This window comes from Homo sapiens, chromosome 10 (genome assembly GCF_000001405.40).
Source record: "Homo sapiens chromosome 10, GRCh38.p14 Primary Assembly".
Classification (NCBI taxonomy): domain Eukaryota; kingdom Metazoa; phylum Chordata; class Mammalia; order Primates; family Hominidae; genus Homo; species Homo sapiens.
In genome coordinates, this window is record NC_000010.11 from 113553725 (window position 1) to 113574778 (window position 21054).

General features: G+C 46.6%; 1 protein-coding gene across 2 annotated transcripts in view, besides 3 other annotated features; it reads left to right on the forward strand.

The window, feature by feature from the left end:
* Positions 1-21054, forward strand: part of HABP2 (hyaluronan binding protein 2) — a 38772-nt gene that overhangs the window by 2894 nt on the left and 14824 nt on the right. For both annotated transcript variants that reach the window (NM_001177660.3, NM_004132.5), the window contains exons 2-3: positions 13765-13801; positions 20565-20681. In NM_001177660.3, the coding sequence (NP_001171131.1) occupies positions 13774-13801; positions 20565-20681 (145 nt within the window). In that variant the 5' untranslated portion in view covers positions 13765-13773. The remainder of the gene's footprint in view (positions 1-13764; positions 13802-20564; positions 20682-21054) is intronic.
* Positions 3803-4483: an enhancer, noted in NCBI's record as "NANOG-H3K27ac hESC enhancer chr10:115317286-115317966 (GRCh37/hg19 assembly coordinates)". NCBI's record gives its function as "activates a minimal SCP1, AML or CMV promoter by ChIP-STARR-seq in primed H9 embryonic stem cells {active_cell/tissue: H9 hESC(primed)}" and the evidence as "EXISTENCE:reporter gene assay evidence [ECO:0000049][PMID:30033119]".
* Positions 4484-5164: an enhancer, noted in NCBI's record as "OCT4-NANOG-H3K27ac-H3K4me1 hESC enhancer chr10:115317967-115318647 (GRCh37/hg19 assembly coordinates)". NCBI's record gives its function as "activates a minimal SCP1, AML or CMV promoter by ChIP-STARR-seq in naive and primed H9 embryonic stem cells {active_cell/tissue: H9 hESC(naive and primed)}" and the evidence as "EXISTENCE:reporter gene assay evidence [ECO:0000049][PMID:30033119]".
* Positions 5686-5980: a silencer, noted in NCBI's record as "tiled region #9721; K562 Repressive non-DNase unmatched - State 23:Low". NCBI's record gives its function as "represses a minimal TATA promoter and a strong SV40 promoter by Sharpr-MPRA in K562 cells {active_cell/tissue: K562}" and the evidence as "EXISTENCE:reporter gene assay evidence [ECO:0000049][PMID:27701403]".

Consider the following 21054-nt stretch of genomic DNA (forward strand, 5'->3'; position numbering starts at 1 on the left):
CTTTTCCCTGTGACAGCAGCAGATGAGGCAGAGAAGGTGAGCAGGGGCCCAAGGGAGGTTGCAGTGCGCAGGGAAGGGAAGTCCCATCAGAGAGTCTTGAACGGGGGACTCAGGACCTTCCGGAGCAGATGACTTGTCAAGATGTTAGTTCCTTCTGTGTGCCATGGTCCAAGAGTGTCAGATGGATCTCTGTGGGCATGGAAAGAGGACCTTGCACAGAAATAGAGTCTCCTTGGAGTTCCGTGCTGGTTGTGGTCTGAGGCATGAATGTGGGCTTTGGAGCCAGGGTTCGAATCTCAGCTTTGCCACATTCTAGCTGTGGAATGTTGGGCAAGGAACATAATCTCTCTGAGCCTCAGTGTTGTCTTCTGCAAATCAAGTGCTAACCTCTCATAGATTTGGGGAGGGCCACAAGTAAACGAGGTCATGTATGTGGCTTGCAAATAAATGTGAGCTCTACTCCCTTAAAATGTCAAGAATGAACACAACTTCTCCATAAAAATCAGAGAATGCTCCGCCTTGTTCGGGAGGGGTGGTAGAAAGTGGGCAGAGGATAAGAACTAAAATAACAGTCATAACCTCTCTGTCTTATTAAGTACCTTTGCATTTTGTTCCCCATTTCACTCCATAGAGCGTTTCCTGAATGAAGCAGATTAAGTTACAGTTTTCTGATTAGCATGTTTTTAAAACAATAGCTTCTCCTTTCTTTTCCGTCAACTGTGCTCAGACACCTATCTTAGCTCTGTATTAAGTTGCCAAGTGACTCACTTCTGAAAGGGTTTTCTTTTCAAATCATGACTTGTGTGTGTGTGGTGGTTGTAATTACAAATTGTTGTCAAGCCCCTACATCATTTGATGGCTTGTTGGTGTCTGAGGCCGAGACACAGCAGAAATACCACAGGTCTAGAGAAAGGCAGGAGAAATCATCGGAGGCCCACGCGGGGCCCAGAGAACATACCAGTCGGAAAGAATTAGATCCTAAACTTTGCGGGCAAGGAGAAACGTTGACACGGTATGTTTGAAGTTCACAAAAGGATAATGGTCCCGAAAAATCCCTTTTTTGCAAACCCCATTGAATTTTTAGGGTTAGCAATGAAATTATAAGTCAATAATGGATAAAAGAGAAAATATGAGAGTTAGCCTTCAGGCAATGAGCTTAGTCAATTCCAAAGAGAGGATTCGGGGCTTTGGAATGCTTTCTTACCCCAGATGTGTGCCAGACAGGTGGTCGGGAAGGCGGCTTGTGTTCCACAGGCTGGCATACAGACATCAGGGGAAAGTGGCCAAGTCGTTCAGATGCTTTGGAGAGTTTGGGGCGTCATGGGGGTAAAGAAGCCACATAGCCAGCTGGGCTGGGTGGCCTCTCCAGCCCCACACAGCTAAAAGTCATAACTAACTGCTACCATTTAATGAGAAGTCCTGAGTGCTAGCCCCTGAACTTTCCATGAATTGGTTCATCTCTGGAAGGACCCCAAGAAGTAATTCCTACTATGCTCCCATTTTACAGAAACGAAGCTGGAAAACTGGGCCTGTCCCAAGTCATACAGCTGATGAGTGGCAGAGCTGAGCTCTGGATTACAGACTGGTTTCCGTGTAGCCAGTCTCCTGTCTGGGGCCCTGGGTGAGGATGAGATTTCTTTGGTTCGTACAGCTTCAGGGACATGGCTTTTCCTGTAGGGAAAGGCCTCTTAGACCAGGCACATGTTTGCTGGGTGGAGTGTAATGGACTCCACGTGTCTCTGAAACTCCAAAGAAAGGCAGCTATAGGATCTGTGGTCACTATTCATTGGAAAGACACCCAGGTACTCTCCCATGAATTCAGATCATGTAGCAAATGAGGACTGTTCTTTGGGATCATCTGTCATGGAGATTTTTATTCTGATATCCACTAGCCCAAGAGATATGGGTCAAAAATCATTGCTGTGAACTCCAGGGCATCATTCATTGTGCCTTGCTGTTCTACTCGAGGTTTGGTTTTCCTAACATATCATTTTTGAGCACCTGTCCAGCACAACCTCATATCATTATCCCTGTTTTATGGATGAGATACAAACCCAGAGATGTTAAAATGACTTTCTGGCCAGGATTGGGGCCAGGTCTGTCTGACTCCACATTCATCACAGGAGGCCTGCTTAACTGTAAATAAGGCGTGGACTGTCTTAGAAATCTCTTCTTGCTAGGATTCTTAGAGTGATTTGGGGCCCAGCTGGGCTCAGCCATAATGGAATTTGGCCTCTCCAAGCCCAGAAACCAGAGGACAATGTTTGTCAAGCTTGCCTGCTTATCTCAGCCCATCCCTAGAAAGAAGAAAGACAAAGGCTTCTCCTCTCCCCTGCAAAGGAGGTGCTTTCAATTAAAACAATGTTTACATTTCTGGGCTTTTAAAACCCTAGAACTCTAGAATCTTCCCAGGGATAGAGCCACAAAACAGTTTGCATAGGTCAGAAGTTGCAAATTGGCAGCTTGAAATACACTCTGCTCACAGCTCAAGTTTAACTTGGTGGATAGAAGATTGACTCCAAGAGTATTTTAGTTTTATTTTAATTGCTTGGCCACATTTGAAAATCGGAACACAGAACATTTCCCATTAAAGATACAGATTCCCAGCTTTTCTTGAAAATCAGACATTTGAGTAGCATTGGGTTCACATTCTTGGCTGGCACCATGGAGAGGGGTAGCCACCGCTGCTGTTATTAGATGAAGTTTGAGGCCAGGCATGGTAGCTCATGCCTGTAATCCCAGCACTTTGGGAGTCCAAGGTGGGAGGATTGCTTGAGGCCAGGAGTTTGAGACTAGCAACATAGCAAGACTCTGTCTCTATCAAAAAAAATTTTTTTTAAATTAAGCGGGTGTGGTGGTACATGTCTGTAGTCTCAGCTACTTGGGAGGCTGAGGCAGAAGCGTCACTTGAACCCAGGAGGTAGAGATTGCAATGAGCAGAGAAGGTGCCATTGCATCCTGCCTTGGCAACAGAGCAAGACTCCATCTCAAAAAAAGTTTAAAAAAAAAAAGAAAGAAAGAAAAAAGAAGCTTGAGTTTCCCAGATCCTGCTCCTCTCTCTTTCTTTGATTCTTTTATTCTTTTTTTTTTTTTTTTTTTTGTAGAGACTGGTTTTTGCTATTTTGCACAAAGCTGGTGTTGAACTCCTGACCTTAAGTGATCCTCTAGCCTTGGCCTCTCAAAGTGCTGAGATGACAGGTGTGAAGCATCATGCCTGGCCCCCATACTATCTAGAACTCTTCCTCTTGACCAATGTGCATTGTCTGCCTGGTTCTGCCTTACTGCACTTCTCTGGTTATTGCTCAGAAATGCTGTGGATATTGACTTATCGGACCAAGTTTGGGATGGGCAAGTGACCAGGCTCAGCATCCGATTAATTCAAGCATCCACACCTGCATGGGCTCCAGGACCAAACAAGGTCTTGGACAGGAAGATGGGAGCCACTCTTTTCAAAGCCTCCAGAATGCCAGTCTCTTTCGGGCCTAGGAGAGACTGAAGAGGCATTCCTCCCTCTTACTGCCATCTACACGGTCTTAGGGAAAGGGGAGGGACTGATTTTCACTGCAAATTCTCATAGATTTTTTTTTAACTGATCTGAAGCACAAATCCAACTCATTACCTTTAGCGGTGTACACTGGTATTTAGGGAAATCAGGTCGCAGGAAATCACATGTGTATACAGGCACGGGTATATTTATATTTTAAATTCATTAGAGTTTCCTAAATGCAAGAGCAATTCTGCTGTCACAGAGAAACAGCATGGCAGAATATTTGGCAGCCGGGATTTTAAATAAAACATGCTTTTTCTTCATAATTAATATAACAAGGTTTCCTGGCTTAGGACTTGGCAACGATCCCAGGAAAAATGGTTGGCGGGGAGGGGGTTGGTGCGCCATGCCTGTGACCCGCAAACAAGTTCCAGGAAAAGTTGATGCTGAGTAAGTTCTCCTTAGTCGGCTCTTCCGGCACTCTGAGAAAACAGAACAAACTCACTGACAACAGTGGCTATTAATAATAGGAGTAGTAAGAGTAATCGTAATAATTAATAGTAGCAGCAACCACGTATGAAGTCTTTACATTTGCCAGATGTGGCATGCTTTATGTTTATTATCTCATTTAAGCTTCTCTCAAACCCTATGAGTTAGGGACCAATGTCATTCTCATTTTACAGACAAGAAACTAAGCATAGAGCAGTTAAATCATCTACTCAAGATGGCACCTCTGGGAGGTTACAGCTCTGGGATTCAAGGTCTGCCCAACGCCTAGTTCTATGCTCACAAGCACTGTGGTTGAGATCATCATGCCTGGCACTGCCCAAAGACAAACAAGACCGTTTTGTGTGGTATCAAAGGTGTCAAAATGGGCAGCAGCCTGAGACTCCAGCTTCCAGCAGGAGACAAAGTCGCTCCCATCTGGACGTTCCCTCAATAGCCCCGAAGCTTTGCTTTCCCTTTGCTTTCCGACACCACAAGGATCGAGTCTTGCCGGCTAGCAAACCAGTTCGTTCAGTGTTTTCAAAACTTCAGTCATGAATGAAGCCATCTTCAGAAATTCTGCCAAAGCCCAAATTAGTTTCTTAATACTTTTGTTAAAGACTCACCTTTTCTCTACCTAAATTGATTTAGTTCTAAAGGAAATTGTCATTACTACAAAGAAAGCGAAGTGATGTCATTGAATTCTAGCTGGCTGCTGTTGACATGCTAAAGGTCTGAGCCTGAAGCGGCTTTATCCTCCTTAGAGGAAAGATCAGCAGGAGGCAGAGGATAGAGACACCAGCACCCGCCAGTCCTTCCCCCTGGTGGGATTGGAAGGCTTGACAGTCAACCTGAGAAAAGAAAGACTTTCTCACGCTGTGTTTTCTGTTTTATTCTAATGCTGTTACTTCACATCCTGGCTAGGCACCATCTCAATCAACTCAGATACCCGCAGTGGCTCACATCTGATGCCACGGAAAGCGCAGGAGTGAGCACAGCTTCAGCAGAGGTGGTGCTGATGCCTAGCGGGGGAGTTACCTTCCTGAAGCCCTGGGCTATTTGCTGGGGCTGACTGACCAAAAAGGGAAACATGGGGGCTTGTGCTTATGAGGCGGCCCCACGCTCAGCTGTGCTTTGGTTTTGTCCACTTGCTTGTCTTAATTTTTTTTTTTTCTTAGACGGAGTCTCGCTCTGTTGCCCAGGCTGGAGTGCAATGGCGCAATCTTGGCTCAATGCAACCTCTGCCTGCCAGGTTAAAGCGATTCTCCTGACTCAGCCTCCTGAGTAGCTGGGATTACAGGCAACTGCCACCACGCCCAGCTAATTTTTGTATTCTTAGCAGAGACAGGGTTTCACCATCCTGGCCAGGCTGGTGTCAAACTCCTGACCTTAAGTGATCCACCCGCCCTGGCCTCCCAAAGTGCTGGGATTACCGGCGTGAGCCACCGTGCCCAGCCTTCGCTTGCCTTTTAAAAGGGCTTCCAAGAGCATTATCATATGCAGAATTTTTACCCAGTCTCCTTGTCTTGGATGGCCTCACTCCCTAACCTTCAAAGCTCCCCTCCACCACCATCTGTTTGCACCAAGTCCCTGGGATGAGCCATTTGTACAGATATTTCTCACCAAGTCTCACCTGCGGAGTAATCATTGCAAATGCCATATTCTTCCTGAGCAGCCAAAGTTCCTTGAATAAAACATTGGAATTGGGAAAGGGAATTCTTACTTTTATAATTGGGGAAACTGAGGCACAGAGAGACTCAACAAATTGCACAGGAGCAAAGATAGGCCCTGAGTCTCCTCAGCCAGAAGCTTCACACCCAAGAGAGCTTGGTATAACCAAAGCGTGGCCAAGGGCAGAGTCGCCTGGGCACTGGAGGAAGATGTGTGTTGTGTTCCCAGCCCACCTCAGACCCATGGACGCCAAACCTCTGCGGGTGGGCCCCAGGGATCTGTATTTTTATCAAGTTCCCCAGACAATTCTTATGCACATTGAGGTTTAAGAACCAATGTCTTTAAAATGGAAATTCTCCGGATGTAACAAATGGGACTCTTCTCTTTCTGCCCATTGCCCCTGTCCCATCTCTGCCTGCCACTGTCACACGAAGCTGCAGCTCAGCCCTTAGCTGGGTAGGGTCTGAGTGGCCAGCTCTGGGCTTTAGAGCAGGGAAGCTGCACAGAATCCCTCTGAGCCAGGCATAGGTGATCGGCGTCAGAGCCAGGAGACTTGAGCCTGAGTCCCTCCCCTGCCCCAATGTGTCCATGTCCTTACACAAGCCACTTCACCATGCTGGGCCTCATCTTCCTCCTCTGCAGATGAAGGGTCTGAGCCAGTTCCTCTCTACAGTGGCTCCTGGCTCATCACTGTGGTCTGGTGAACAGCTTCACCCAGGTGTCCAGGAAGGAAACCACCCACAGGCACTGCTGGCCAGCACCTTCACCTTTGGCTTCCACATTCTCCCTTGAGAGTTTTGCCCCCTTCCCCTGAGCTTCAGGTGAAAGCAAAGCTGCAGTGAACCTGCCAGTCTTGAGACGGCATTGAGCAATGTGTGCAAAAGCCAGAAGGGCAAGATTCCTGTGCCTACGAAGGGATGGAGTTGCACCACTTCACACCTATTAGGATGGCTCACTTCATACCTATTAGGATGGCTATCATTTTCGAGAATGGGGAATAACAAGTGTGGGTGAGAATGTGGAGTAATTGGAACCCTCAGGCCTCGCTGGTAGGTATGTAAAATGGTGCAGCCACTGTGGAAAACAGTATGGCGGTCCCTGACAAAGTTAATCGTAGAACTACCCTAGGACCCAGCAATTCCACATCTAAGTACATATCTGAAAGAACTGAAAGCAGAGACTTGAACAGAAATCTGTACACCAATGTTCATAGCAGTATTATTCACAATAGCCAAAAGGTGTAAATGACCCATGTCCATCAAGAGATGAATGCATAAACAACATGTGATTAGATAGAGACAATGGAATACTATTTAGCTGTAAAAAGGAAGGAAAGTTTGATACATGCTACCTAGAAGACCTTGGAAACACGATGCACAGTGAAATAAAGGCAGTCCCAGAAGGACAAATATTGTAGGATTCCGCTTCCATGAGATACTTAGAATTGCCAAATGCACAGAGACAGAAAGTAGGCTAGAGATTAGCAGGGCTGAGGGAGAATAAGAAGGAGGCGTTTCTGTTCAACGAGTACAGTCCATGCTGGGGATGACGAAAAAGTTTGGGGATTAGAGAGTGGTGATGGGTACACAGCATTGTGAATGTAATTAGTATCACTGAAAGGTACACTTACAAATGGTCAAAACGATAAATGTGATGTTCTGTATATGTTACCACAATTTTCAAATAAAAGGACTGAGTGGCTTGGCACAACTGCTCATCTTAGTGTCTTCTAGGATAAAGTTGGTTAGACAGAAAGTCAAGGAGGGGCAGAGAGAGAAGGAGCCCGTGTCTCTGAATCCTACTGATTTACAGTGTAATCTTCTTGGGGGTGGGGAGTGTATACGTCTAGTCTATTTTGTCCTATCTTTAATCCAGTGATGATTTCAACTCAGGCTGAAATGACATCGCTTATCTTTGTAGCAGGAGCCAGAGAAGAACAACATGAGGGAGGATTTGGCCTGGGCACTGGCAGCCACTGCCCTCTGCCACCTCCACTACTCGCTCTGGCCTTGAGCTCTTTGCCCAGCAAGGGGACTGGCCCTGCTGAACTGTGCACACTTGTCCCTGTCCACCTTCCAGTCCAGAGGTTGCAGCCTCAACCATGGCCATGGTACAGAGGTCTCTCCTCCCCAGCTGCCCTTGGGAGTAACGCACCTCCCTGGTGGTTGGCAACATGTGGCCTACCACCAGGCATAGGGTAGAACATGCAAGGAAGAAGAGATGGTGTGATTAGAGTCCCAACCTTTTATCCAGCAAGCAGAAGATTTCTCTGCTCTTAGTTCATTCGGAGCTGAGCCTCTGTCCCCAAAAGACAAATCTGGCCCTATCTCCCCCATCACTGCCTCCTAATCCCTCTGAGAACATTTTCTACCAACGAATTTCTGGAACACATCAACTCAGACTGTTAGGCTTTTTGTTTTGTCTTCCAGAAGTTTTGGAATTCTGGAAGGCAGAGGAAGAATCTTAGTTGAAATAATCACTGGATTAAATATAGGACAAAATAGACTTGATGTATGTGCACCCCACCCACAAGGAGATTACACTGTAAATCAGTAAGACTCAGAGACTCGGGATCCTTTTCTCCCTGCCTTCCTCACTAACCAACCTTAACCTGGGAGGACACCAGACTTTGAGACTCTGGTGGCTTAGGGAGTTTAACATTGCTAAGGGCCTGCTCCTAACCTTGAAGTCAGTGTCCTGAGCCAGGGATCCATTGAGAAAGCCCAAGTGCGGAGTAGAATAAACAGTCGTTGGATCTAGAATGGTCTTGCTAAATATACTACAAAGCAGCTACCTTACCATGTGCAGAAGCAGCAGCGTCCACCCTTTAAGAGAAGACGGGTCAGCTGGGACCATGTGCTATTTTAGCCCTGTTGAAACTAGGAATGGATGTGGTGGGAGAAGTGGGCAGTGGCTTACGTGCCTTTTGATCTGAGTGAAGATGTTTGTTAAGATGTGTTTACCGCAGTAGGCTGGCCAAGGCTCAATCTGACTTTTGTACTTTCTCCAGCTGTCACTGGGGCCAAGTAGGCCCTCTCTGTGGCCTGCCAGGCCTAGGCCAGATTGGATAAGCTTTTTTTTTTTTTTTTTTTTTAAGACAGAGTCTCATTCTTTCACCCAAGCTGGAGTGCAGTGGCACGATCTCTGCTCACTGCAGCCTCCACTTCTCAGGTTCAAGCGATTCTTGTGCCTCAGCCACCCGAGTAGCTGGGACTACAGGCTCCTGCCCTCACGCCTGGCTAATTTTTGTATTTTTAGTAGAGATGGGGTTTTGCCATGTTGGCCAAGCTGGTCTCCAACTCCTGGCCTCAAGTGATCTGCCCACCTCGGCCTCCCAAAGTGTTGGGATTACAGGCGTAAGCCACTGCGCCCGGCCCACAGATAAGCCTTTTTATAAAGCATTCCAAGAACAGTGCCCCTGATTTTGAACCTAGCTCAACACCTGCCTCTCAAGGTTAATGAGCTTTTCTGTTTCTTTCTCCTCCATCCTTGCTTTATTACTGTGTACACGTGGCAGCTTCCTGGTCCCTCACAATGGTGACTAAGAGCAAGGACTCTGATGTGAGACTGACAGTCTCCTGTTCTGGCTCCAGCATTTCCTAGTTAAGTTATTTTAGACAACTTAATATCTGAAAACCTCAGTTTTGTCACCTCTAAATTGGATATAATCATAATACCTAAATTATGAAGTATTGTGTGCAACAAACAAGACAAAATGTCCGTAAAATATTTAACACAGTTGATGGCACATTGTCAGCTCTAAAGGAATGTGAACTGAGATAACAGTTTTCTCCCTAGTTATCTCTTCCTCCTACTCTTCCATCGATCTTTCTCTTTGAATGTGCAAGTCTCAGGAGTAAGGGTTCTTCTATCATTTTCTTGTCTCTGGGAGAAGAGATAATGGAATGATGGAATGAAAGGAGGCAAATACTGTGTCCACCCTTCCCACCTACCATCATCCAGGTTAGTTTCAGGGATCCGGATATAGGCATAAGTAATTGACTATCAGCCTGGACTTTCCCATACGGTCCCTAAATATCCAGCCAGGTGTTCGGACTACCAGTTTCCACATTGCACCACGGCCCCTCTCTGTGGGTGGACACTGTGAGTCACAAAATGAGTGACTTGCTTCAGATTCCGGCGACCCCCTGACAGGCAGCCCAAGCTGCACATCGGCTTCAGGCTCCCCGAGAGCCCAGCCCAGGAAGTCTCGGCTTTCTTTTTGTTTGGTTTCCCTCCGAGCGCCAGCTCCTAGGAAGGGCACGTCTGCCACCTGCTGGCTGTAGGCAGCATGGCACCCGGCTGTCCCTCAGGCTCCAGCTGGAGCCAGGATGCGCAATGCTGGCCCAGGTGCAGGTCCTGGAGGGCCCTTCCTTGCTGGACCCCGAGGAAGGATGTCCCTCAAAGTCTTCTGCCCACTTCTTAGGACATGGCCCACCCTGTTCGGCTCAAAGAGAAGAATTCGTAGGGAATCTCCAAAGGACTGGGTGGAGACAGGTCTAGACAGACAGGCCCTGCCCTGAGAAAGGCAAGGCAGGGAGCAAAGACCAGGACCAAGGCCCAGATGACTGGGGGTGATGAGGGCGAGATTGAAGAAGGGGTAACCTTTGTCCTTGAAGTCTTAGTGTATTAGTCCATTCTCATGCTGCTAATAAAGACATACCCAAGACTGGGTAATTTATAAAGAAAAAGAGGTTTAATAGACTCACAGTTCCACATGGCTGGGGAGGCCTCACAATCATGGCAGAAGGTGAAAGACACGTCTTACATGGTGGCAGGCAAAACAGTGTATGCAGGGGAACTGCGCATTATAAAACCATCAGATCTCCTGAGACTTAATCACTATCATGAGAACAGCACAGGAAAAACACACCCCCATGATTCAATTACCTCCCACATGGTCCCTCCTATGACACATGGGAATTATGGGAGCTACAATTCAAGATGAGATTTGGGTAGGGACACAGCCAAACCATATTAGGGTCCCCTCATGGCACCTCTCTGGCACTCAACCCCAGAGGTACCCATTTCTGGCAATCCTTCACCCTAAGCCCAGGAGCACCCCTAAGGCCTAAGCTGCCCTTCCTCTGCCAGGCCTCCCCACTGCCAACCCCCACCCTCAGCCCCAAACAGAACACCTGTCCCATCTCACTGCCTGCAGAAACAGGGTGTGGGGGAGGTGGTTAGCCAGGAAGTCATTAGACAGAGGCACAGTCCCCGATAACAAATGACCTCTCTTCCTTTTTTTGCATTCCTTTCCCCTCACCAACATGTTATTTTGTAATTTTTTAAACCTACAGAAAAGTGGGAAGAATAATGCAATGAATATTCTTCATCCAGATAGATGCCACAATTGTTAACATGTCGTTATGGTTGCTGTGTCTCTCATTCTCCTGTGTGTATAGTTGTTTTGTTTGTTTGTTTGCTGAATCATTTGCAAGTAAATTGTAGACATCACTCTACCTCACCACGCATCTCTCTCTTTTGTTTTTTTCTTAGATGGAGTCTCGCTCTGTAGCCCAGGCTGGAGTGCAGTGGCACAATCTTGGCTCGCTGCAAGCTCTGCCTCCTGGGCTCACCCCATTCTCCTGCCTCAGCCTCCCGAGTAGCTAGGACTACAGGCCCCCGCTGCCACATCCAGCTAATTTTTTGTACTTTTAGTGGAGACGGGGTTTCACTGTTAGCCAGGATGGTCTTGATCTCCTGACCTTGTGATCCACCCACCTCGGCCTCCCAAAGTGCTGGGATTACAGGCGTGAGCCACCACGCCCAGCCAGCGTCTCTTAAGAATAAGTACATTTTCCTACAGAACTACAATACCATTGTTTACTCTCAAGAAAGTCAACATTGACACAATAATATTGTCTAATATGTCTATATTCAAATTTCCCACTTGTTTCAGTATCTTAGTCCATTTTGTGTTGCTACAAAGGAATACCTGAGGCTGGGTGATGTATTTTTTTTAAAAAAGAGGTTTATTTGGCTTGGATTTCTGAGGACTGGAAAGTCCAGGATTGGGCAGCTGCTTTTGGCAAGGGCCTCAAGCTGCCTCCACTCATGGCAAAAGGGAAAGGGGAGCCAATGTACAGAGATCACATGGCAAGAGGGGAAGCAAGAGGGAGGGATGGAAGTGCCAGGCTCTTTTTAACAACCAGCTCTCCTAGGAACTAATAGAGTGAAACCTTGCTTACCCTGAGGGTGAGTACTAATCCATTTGTAATGGATCCACCCCTATGCCCCAACATTGAGGCCCCACCTCCAACATTGGGGATCAAATTTCAGCACGAGGTTTGGAGAGGACAAATATCCAAGTCAGCCCAAACCACAGCACTCAATGTCCTTTTTGCCATTGTTTTTAAATCCAGGATCCAATTAAGAGTCACACACTGCATTTCGTTGCCATGTCCTTTACTAAAAATACAGTCCTCCCATCTTTTTTTGTCTTTTATGGTGTTGATGTTTTTCTGGAGGCTAGGCTAGGTGTTTTGTAGAATGCCCTGCAATTTGAATCTCACAATTTGGATCTGTCATGTTCCTCATGAGTAAATTCAGGGTAACTATTTTTGCCAAGAGTACTATCTGTTGATATTTTACATCCTCAGTACATCATATCAGGATGCATTATTTCTTTTTATTTTTCTTTCCTAATTTATCATCTACCTAATTCCCAAAATCATGTAAGGAAGCCTACAGTAAAACAGAAAATTAGAAATTCTGCAGAGGGTAGAAGCAGCAAATATACCAAACTGCCTAGCTTGATGTATCTCATTGATCTCAGCTTTCTGGCGGCCAAGACCCAAAGGGAAAGCTGTCTAGTGGTAGAACTCGCATTTCTTTAAATCAGGGTTCAGCAAACTTTGTAAAATGTCAGATAGTAAATGTTTGGGGTTATACTTTCTCTCTACAAAAGCAGCCATAAACAAACAGGCATGGTTGTTTTCCAATAAAACTTTATTTACAAAAACAAAACTGCTAGGCTTGGCCCAAGGGCCCTTATTTGCTGACCCCTGATTAAAGTGGAAGAGAGCATACTCCAGTTATTAAATGAGTAATACTTTCTTTTTCAGGTTGAGTACTGCATATTAAAGGAAATATTTATGTCATTATTTATTTATTCAGCAAATCTTTTTGAGGAATGCCATGTGCCAAGCTCTATGCTAGGTATTGGGTAATACATCAATGACAAAACAGACAAAATCCCTGCCTTTCTGGAGGACAGAGTCTGATGTGAGAGACAGGTGACATGCAAATAAACAAATGTAAATCTATGCACTGCAGTAAGGATTATGGAGGGAATAAGCGGGTGCAGTGACAAAACAGTGGGGATAGGGAAATGTCATATTGATGGGATATTTCAGGGAAGATGACACTTAAACTGAGACCTAGCGAAGGTCATAGAGGGGGGCTTCCAGGCAGAGGCAACAATAATTGCCAAGGCCCTGAGGTGGGAGGAATTTATCTTGCGCCATTTTGAAGCCAGGTGTGGCTGAAGCTTAGTAAAGGGGCAATGGGAGGGAGGAGTATGGGAGGAGATTTGTAGGTCATGGCAGGTGTTTGCATTTTATTCTAAGAACAACGAGAAGCCACTGAAGGGTTTTAAGCATCTGTCCATCCCCAATCCCCAGGAACTGTCACCTGAAGAAATCACCTAGATTTCAGCATGAATTCCGAATCCTATCACAGCTATGTGACCTCCGAGTCCAAATTTTCTCATCTGTAAACAAGGCTGATGCAAGCCTCTTCATAGGGCTGTTATAAGTATGAAATGCAGCAATGTGTGATCAGGCAGGGAGTAGATGAAACTCACTGCACCTGACGAGCACACCAGTACCTGGGCAGCCGTGTTCCAAAGCAAGGACAGGTGCAGACAACTGACACGAACCCCTGCTGTGGAGAAGGACAATGCTTCAGTACTCAGCGCGCACAGGTGGTGGTGGTGGAGGGGGTGTATCTTCAAATAGACCCCATTGCCCCTCCCTTCAACCTCTAGCCCAGCCACAACCATCAGAAAGCACGCAGTGCACCTGCACCCCATACGATCTCCTCTGGCTGACAGCTAAGGAGCACGCCCGGCAGAGCTCCATCTCAACGCTGATCTGCTGTGTTGTTTTGTTTTTCAGTTCTCCCTGATGTCTTTATTGGAAAGCCTGGACCCAGGTAAGTGTGCTGATCTCCCTGGGGCTTCCCACCAATCCCAGGCTGGTTCTGGGCTGGTGAAAAGGAGGCCTAAGTATGGAAGTGTTGGAGGGACCTCAGGGTTCAACTGGTTCCAGGTTGTCACAGGCACCTTTGAGAACTTGCCCTCAAAATTTGTGCACCCACAATGCTTTACACAATTTTGAGTTTCCTGTGGACACTGATGAGCCCAGGCTCAGGATCCCAAGGGAAATACTGCCTACGTACTTAAAACCCTTGATTTTATAAAGAACTGAGGCCTAGAGGGGAAGCAATTTACTCCTGGCCACACAGCGAATTGGAGGCTGAGATGAGGTGAAAGGCTGAGGCAAAGTGAGGGCGAGATGAAAAATGCATGGCTCCAGGCAGGCCGCTCCACCTCTTTTTGTGCGAGGGCGGCCTCCGGGCTGACCTGCCCTGGTGATACCCTCACACCAGCACCTCTGCTGTTGTCTTCTCTGCCCAAATGGTTTGCTTCCTCAGGCTCGACGCGTCTACCACCAGGTGGGTCCTGTATCTTCACAAGGGCTCTCTGTCTCACAGACTCGCTCTCTTATTGTCTCCCTTTCCTGTGTCCTCGGCCTTGTGCCCACAGCGTGCGCAAGCTAAGCAGGGCCACCCCTTCCACATCATGCACTCCTAGTCCTTTGGCTCTGGGTTCGAGTCTCCCTTTGCAGCTCTGAGCCGCAGTGGAGAAAATTCTGCTCGCCACTCCATCTGGCCAGAGGCCAACAACCCCACTGGTAGAGATCTATGCTGGTCACCCACAGAGCGCCATAGCCAGGCAGACAACACATGGAGACTGTGGCCACATCTGAACCTTGAATCAAGGATTTATTTGGCACAAAGATGGCAGTAACTGGGCCAAAGTCAGTTTGACAGTCAATATTGTCCAGCAGCAAACCCTGGATGGGCAGAAAGATGAGGCCAGGTCTTCATTCTGTCCCAGGTGCTCAGAGGATATTTGTGGAGTTGAAGAGAAATATATATTGGCATGGTGTGTGGGGTTTTGAGAAAATCCGTGTCTTTCCCCAACACGAAGGATATTCAACGACACATAGTTCAGTTCCTCTGAAGGCGCGTATTTCAGAGAGTTATCCCCTAGCTGATGAACACACCACCACCCACACGTGGAGTCCAGGGAGGAGCCAAGACCAAGGGGCTGGAAGGGTGGCCTCTTCCCCAGCCTTAAGCCCAAATTGCTCAGGCACCGCTGAAGGGGATCCCTGGGTCTGATTTTCAGAGATACAGGGCTGTGGGAGCTATGGGGTGACACAGTGGAAGAAAAAGAAGTGCGGAAGACTCAAGGGCCCTTGACTTTACTGCCAGCTGCCAGAAAGTTGTAAGAGACATCTACAGTGAGTTCATGACACCCTGGAATTGTGCAGTGAACAACTTGAGCAACTGTAAGCAGTGGCCCTACTGAACAGAGACCATGGAAAGGGAGTGGAGTTAGCCAATGTGCCCATAGATTTATAGCTTTAATCAAACAGACTGGGAGCTACAGGGTCAGATTTGATCTGCAAACAGGAAGAACTTTCTCACTATCAGAGTTGTTCAAAAATCTGAATGGGCCACTGGGCTCTCAGGAGGTAATGAGTTTCCCATCACTGGAGGCTTTTTAAGCACAGGCTGAAAAACCTCTTATAGGGAGTGAAGAGTATTTAATTTAACCCTCAAGAAACTACCTTCAGACAGTTTGGTATATAAATGAAGGGACCCTGAAGCAGACTTCTCCTGGGATCCAGAGTCCATCTCGAGGTGTCATAGCCTCCAGGGAGTGGGCTGAGTTGTAGAGATTGGGCCTTTTTGCAAAGAGTAGATTCAGTTTAAAAACATCCCTGTTCAGTGTCCGACTTAACCTCTCACAGGGGTTGTGCTTTGATGGTATTTGTCAGCTCCCTGCTGGCTCTAGACAACAGCATGGCGAAAGAGACCCCGTGCTCGTGCCCGTGGGCAAGTTGCTTCTTTGGTTGATCTTGCTGGAGACAGCGCACGGTGAGGGCCTTGCTGGAGCAGAAGGTGCGCATTCCACAGTCCCCAGTGGGTGGTGGAGGAGGTAGCCAGCAAACAGCACAGACTCTGCCAATCTCCCCAAAGCAGGTGCCACGACAGCCAGCAGGCCTGTGGAAATGCCTCTTCAAAGCTGGCTTGGCTCTGCCCAGCAATGCAGGCTGAGCCCATCCATCAGCTGTCCTACTGCCTGCCAGCGAGAGTGTCTGCTGGGCTTGCCCCGCCAGCCAGATTGGAAGTGTCAAATGCAGGCCGACAGGGCTGGGGTTTGGAGGAGGCCCTCAGAGGAGCCGTCTGTGCCACAGTGATGGATGACACCAACAGGGACGACATTCCGGGGATTTTGATTCTGTTCCACACATCTGGCAAGCTCCTTAACCAGAGCAGCTGCAAAGCTCCCATCGCAGGAACTCTGAGCATTTTCTGAGAGACCCCAAACATGGACTGAGTTAATCCTGGTCAAGGGACCTGGAGCATGTGCTTAAGAAGGTTTCCCAATGCATGCTACTTCCTGAAAGCTAAAACCCAAGGACTTTCATGAAACCCAAACCTATAAGAGATTCCAGGATCGTAAAAAGGCAAATAAAACTTGGAGTTAGGTAGACCTGGGTTATGATGTCATCTCATTTGGCCTTCATTTTTCCTTATCTGCAAAATAGGAATAATAATACCTATGCTATAGGGTTGCTTTAAGGTGAAGTAAGATTGTGGGCAACCACATTTATTTAGTTTAGTGTCTGATACATAGAAAATACTCAACACATTATAACCTATTATTAGGATAATTTGGCTTAACTCAGGATACTCTCATGATTCTTCCTGATAATTTCTAGAAACAGACTGAAAACTAGACAAACTCACAAGAATTTCTTTTTATTCCTGATAGAAAATTCTTGAACAGCTGCCCCTTTCTTTCCCAAAGCTCCTCCCTTTTCTATAGCCTAGAGAAAGTCACAAATAATCTATGTTTAAACCTGAACTGTTTTTCTACAATCTACCAGTGGAACCAAAATTTATGGCAGGCTACTGTGCCTCTCTACCCAGGAAAATATGTGGACGAGTTTCTAGATCGCTACAGAGCTCATCAGGTATTTTCTTTGCCAAGTACATTTGACCCATTTCTTACACAGTTTCTTACTGAAATTCCCTATTTGCTCTGCTTTAAGCAGACACCATTTTTTTAGCCAGCAAAGCTGCATGCAGGCCAATCAGAAAGCAGAAAGGCTTAGCCACTAAGGGAAAAATAAATCCGTCAATCACATACATTAACTACAGGTAGGGCTTTGTGCTGGGCACTCTGGGGTTAAAAGAGGAATGGAAATGGCCCTTCCTTTTAAGAAACTAACTATCAAGTTGGAGGAAACAAATAAGATAGACCAAATACCCAAGAGAGGTGCCATCTGAGGTCTAGCTATGACACTTAAAACTCTCCAGCCAACTGGGCCACAGAGGAATGCTCTTGAAACTAAAATTCTTATCCCATTAGCAATCTAATATCAATCAAGCCCTGTGTGTCGGTTTGTTATTATTGCATAATACGCTACCCCAAACTTAGTAGCTTAAACCACTGACCATGTATTTAGGTCACAATTCTTTGGGTTGACAATTTTGGCTGGGTTCAGCTGGGCAGTTCTTCTGGGCTGCATCGGGCTCAGTTGATCTTGACTGGGCTTGCTCATGTGTCTGCAGAAGCTGGCAGATTGGCTGGCCTCTTATCTTGCTGAATATTGGCTGGGCTTTCTTATATGTCTGAGGCCTCAGCTAGGACCACTAGGCCAGCCGTTGTCCACATGTTCTCATTTGCTCTTGCAGAATAGGCCAAACTGTTCACATGGCAGTCATGTGGGTCCAGGAGTGGGAGAGATACAGAGTCGAGAGAGAACAAGACTTCTTAAGGCCCAGGCTCTGAGCTGGCACACCGTCCTTCCATCACACATGCTATTGGCCAAAGCATGTCCTAAGGCCAACCCAGAACCAAGGGGCAGGGAAACTGACTCCATCTCTTGGTGGGAGAAACTGAAAAGTCACATTGCAAAGGGTGTGGGTGCAGGGAGGGGTGGAGAATCAAGGGCTATTTTTGTCATCAGATTGGCTCATACTGAAGCAGAGTTTCACTGTGGAACTTGAGGGCGCCAGGCCTAGACTTGGTCACTTCTAGCTCCCTCACCTCTTCACTACTCTTTAATCTCCTTCCTTAGCTGGCTTTCATCCCCCACCCAACCTTGGCTGGAGGCTTCCTTGAGGACAAGGCCACATCCTACTCTTATTTGTATAACTCTGCACCATTCCCAATGCCATCCTGAACCTGGCATAACACTTGGTCCATTGTAGGTTCACAAGACAAGTTACATATGCAGACAATAGGATTAAGTGCCAACATAATGGGAAAGACAAAATAAGGTTTAATCCTAGAAGTGGAGAAACCCTCCCAGATGATACTCCTGTAAAGCACCTTCAAATCACATGGCAGCCCATCCCAAATGGAAAGGATCTTTGTGACTTTCCTTGCACAGCCACCAGCTGGATGGCTTCTTCCACCCTGGCTACCTGGGGCCACTGAGCTCTGCTCGTTCTATCCATCTTGACTGAGGCCCATGGGCCCTAGAGAATAGGAAGCCTTTCTTAGCAGCAATATGATTCAAAGCCTATGTATTTTATTTCTTCTTTGGCTTCACTGAGAGGTAAGCAGACCTTGTTAATAGGTCTGGATTCAAGTCAAAATCCTCTAACAGACATTTCATTCATCCCTCGTCACCTGGAAAAGTCACACCATACCATCTACATCAGAATCTTCCCCATTTCTAAATATCTGCAAAAGAAGTAATTCTTAATGGCCTTGCCAAGATTAGCTGGTCTGACTGCCAACCTGTGGGAGAGATGGGAGAAATTACAGAAGCAACCTGAAGGGCATTTATCTATAAACATCTGTTGGAAAAACAAAAATAAATTCTTCAAAGAACAAGAAATAACTAAGCAATGCAATCAGCTCCTTATCAAACCCCATTGTCTCTCCTAAATGTCAGTTTGAAATCTTTCATGTCAAACTCAGAAAAACATTTTTTTCCTCATTTTCTCCCTCTCTTTCTCTGCTTTATCACGCTAGATGGAGGAAAACTTTATTTGCTCCAGGAAGACAATGGCCTTATCTTCAACCTGGATCCTCAGCCCTAAAAAGGTGGCCTCCCCTGGGAGCATTTTCATAGTGGGGAAAAGCACTTCGGGAGAAATAATGAGCAAGCCAAGGGAGTCTTGACTTGACACTGTGATAAATGAGGTGAAACTTTGGCAAGAAACCAGAGTTGGCGTATTCAAAAAAGAAATAAAAAGCTAGTTCCATTTTAATGGGAAATATAAAACAGCCATTGTGCAAAAGTCGATTTTTCAAAAGCCAGAGAGATAAAGACTCTAACAGAATGACTGAGAGACGAGTAAGATAATGTGGTTGATAATCAGGCTTAGGTAAAGTGCCATCCTCCAAGCCATCAGCTGGCTCCGTAGGAGTGCCTTTTCAAGTCAGCTATCTGCATTTGCTCGCGCCTCATTATCATATGCATCTCTGGACAGCTTCCTTGCAGCTTCAACTTGCCGACTTGCCATACTCCAGCCGGCTGGAGAGAGCAAAGTCAACCTGACTTTCTTCAAATCCCAAACTTCCACAGACCTACCAGCCACAGAGCTACCAGGATCTCCCCGCCAAGGCCCCAGAGAGCAAAGAGCTTGAGTCCAGCCAACCTTACACATACCTGTTTTTTTTCCCAATGACCAGTCTAGTGTGAGGTTTACAACTGTAGGCAAGATCCATGAACTTTTATAAGGTTATCCTTGGGAAATTCCTAATGAGCAGGCTGGATAGTCAATGGGGATGGTGGGACACATTTTCCCAAGGGTAAGTGTGGGAGTACCCAAGGCAATGTAAGACCCCAGTTGAAACAGTTGAGTGCTACAGTTGAGCTAGTGAGATTTAGGGGTTGTACGGAGACAAACTGCCATAGTTCATATCCTGCCCTTTAGTAACTATGTGTCCTTGGCCAAGTTACTCAATCTCTGTCAGCCTCAGGTTTCTCAACTTAGAGTGAACAATACACCTCCTAGATTTTTATGAAGATGAAGTTAGATGGTGCATGTAAAGTGCTTAGCACAGGGCATGGTACATAATAAAGGCTCAAAAAATGTTATCTGTTAAAATGACTCTGTAGATAATGCTTGACCATGACCAAAAGAAAAATGATGAGTTTTCTTTGATTTCATTCAGCTTGGTGACTAATGAAGTCCCATCAAGAAATATTATCCACAGGATGAGGCAACCAGGCACTCAAGTATAGTGTGATCTGACCCCGGGCAGACCCCATGTAGGACCCTGTAGACGTGCTAGGTCCCAATCCTCTTCCTGCTGTTCAAAGATGAGAAAATCAAGACTTGATAATACAGTTGGCTTTCCTAAGTTCAAGGGAGTAGAAAGCTGGACTTCGCTTCATCTCTTCACTTCCAATCAGGTGCTCATGACCCTGCTAAATGTCAACACTACCTTGCCGGGTCATAGCGTCCCCCAAGTGAAAAGATGCAAAGCCTGAGCCCTCCTTTCCACTCCCCTCACTGTGCAGAGCTGGAGAGACACATGATTCCTCCTGCAGGACTTTGAATTCTTTGGGGAAAAGGTGTCCAACTAAATAAAATGCTGGCCTATTTGAGTGTAATGATTAGGATTTCTTCTGTCCTGTTACCATCCCTGCAGACTGGACCCCTGACCAGTATGATTACAGCTACGAGGATTATAATCAGGAAGAGAACACCAGTAGCACACTTACCCACGCTGAGAATCCTGACTGGTACTACACTGAGGACCAAGCTGGTAGGTACCAAATCTCTTTCAGGGACTCTCCTGGGAGAAGGTCAGAGCGGAGTGTATGTGGGACCACATGCAAGGGCCTCTCTCTCCGCCTCTCTGGCCAGTATTGTGAAATAGCTATGGAAGAAATTATTTGGACTGGCTTTTTTTTCTGTTAGATTCATATGCTATGAGGACTGGGGAAGTTCTTAGAGACCATCTCCCCTACCCTCAAATGACAGATGAGGTAAGTGAGGCTAAGAGAGGAGCTGACTTGGCCAAGGTCATGCAGCAAGTTAATGCAGCATTGTCCAGGTTTCCTGATGCTGTGAATAGCAGCTGTATTCAAAATCACTCCCATAGCTTAGATTACAGGTCAGACCCTAAGGATGCAGGA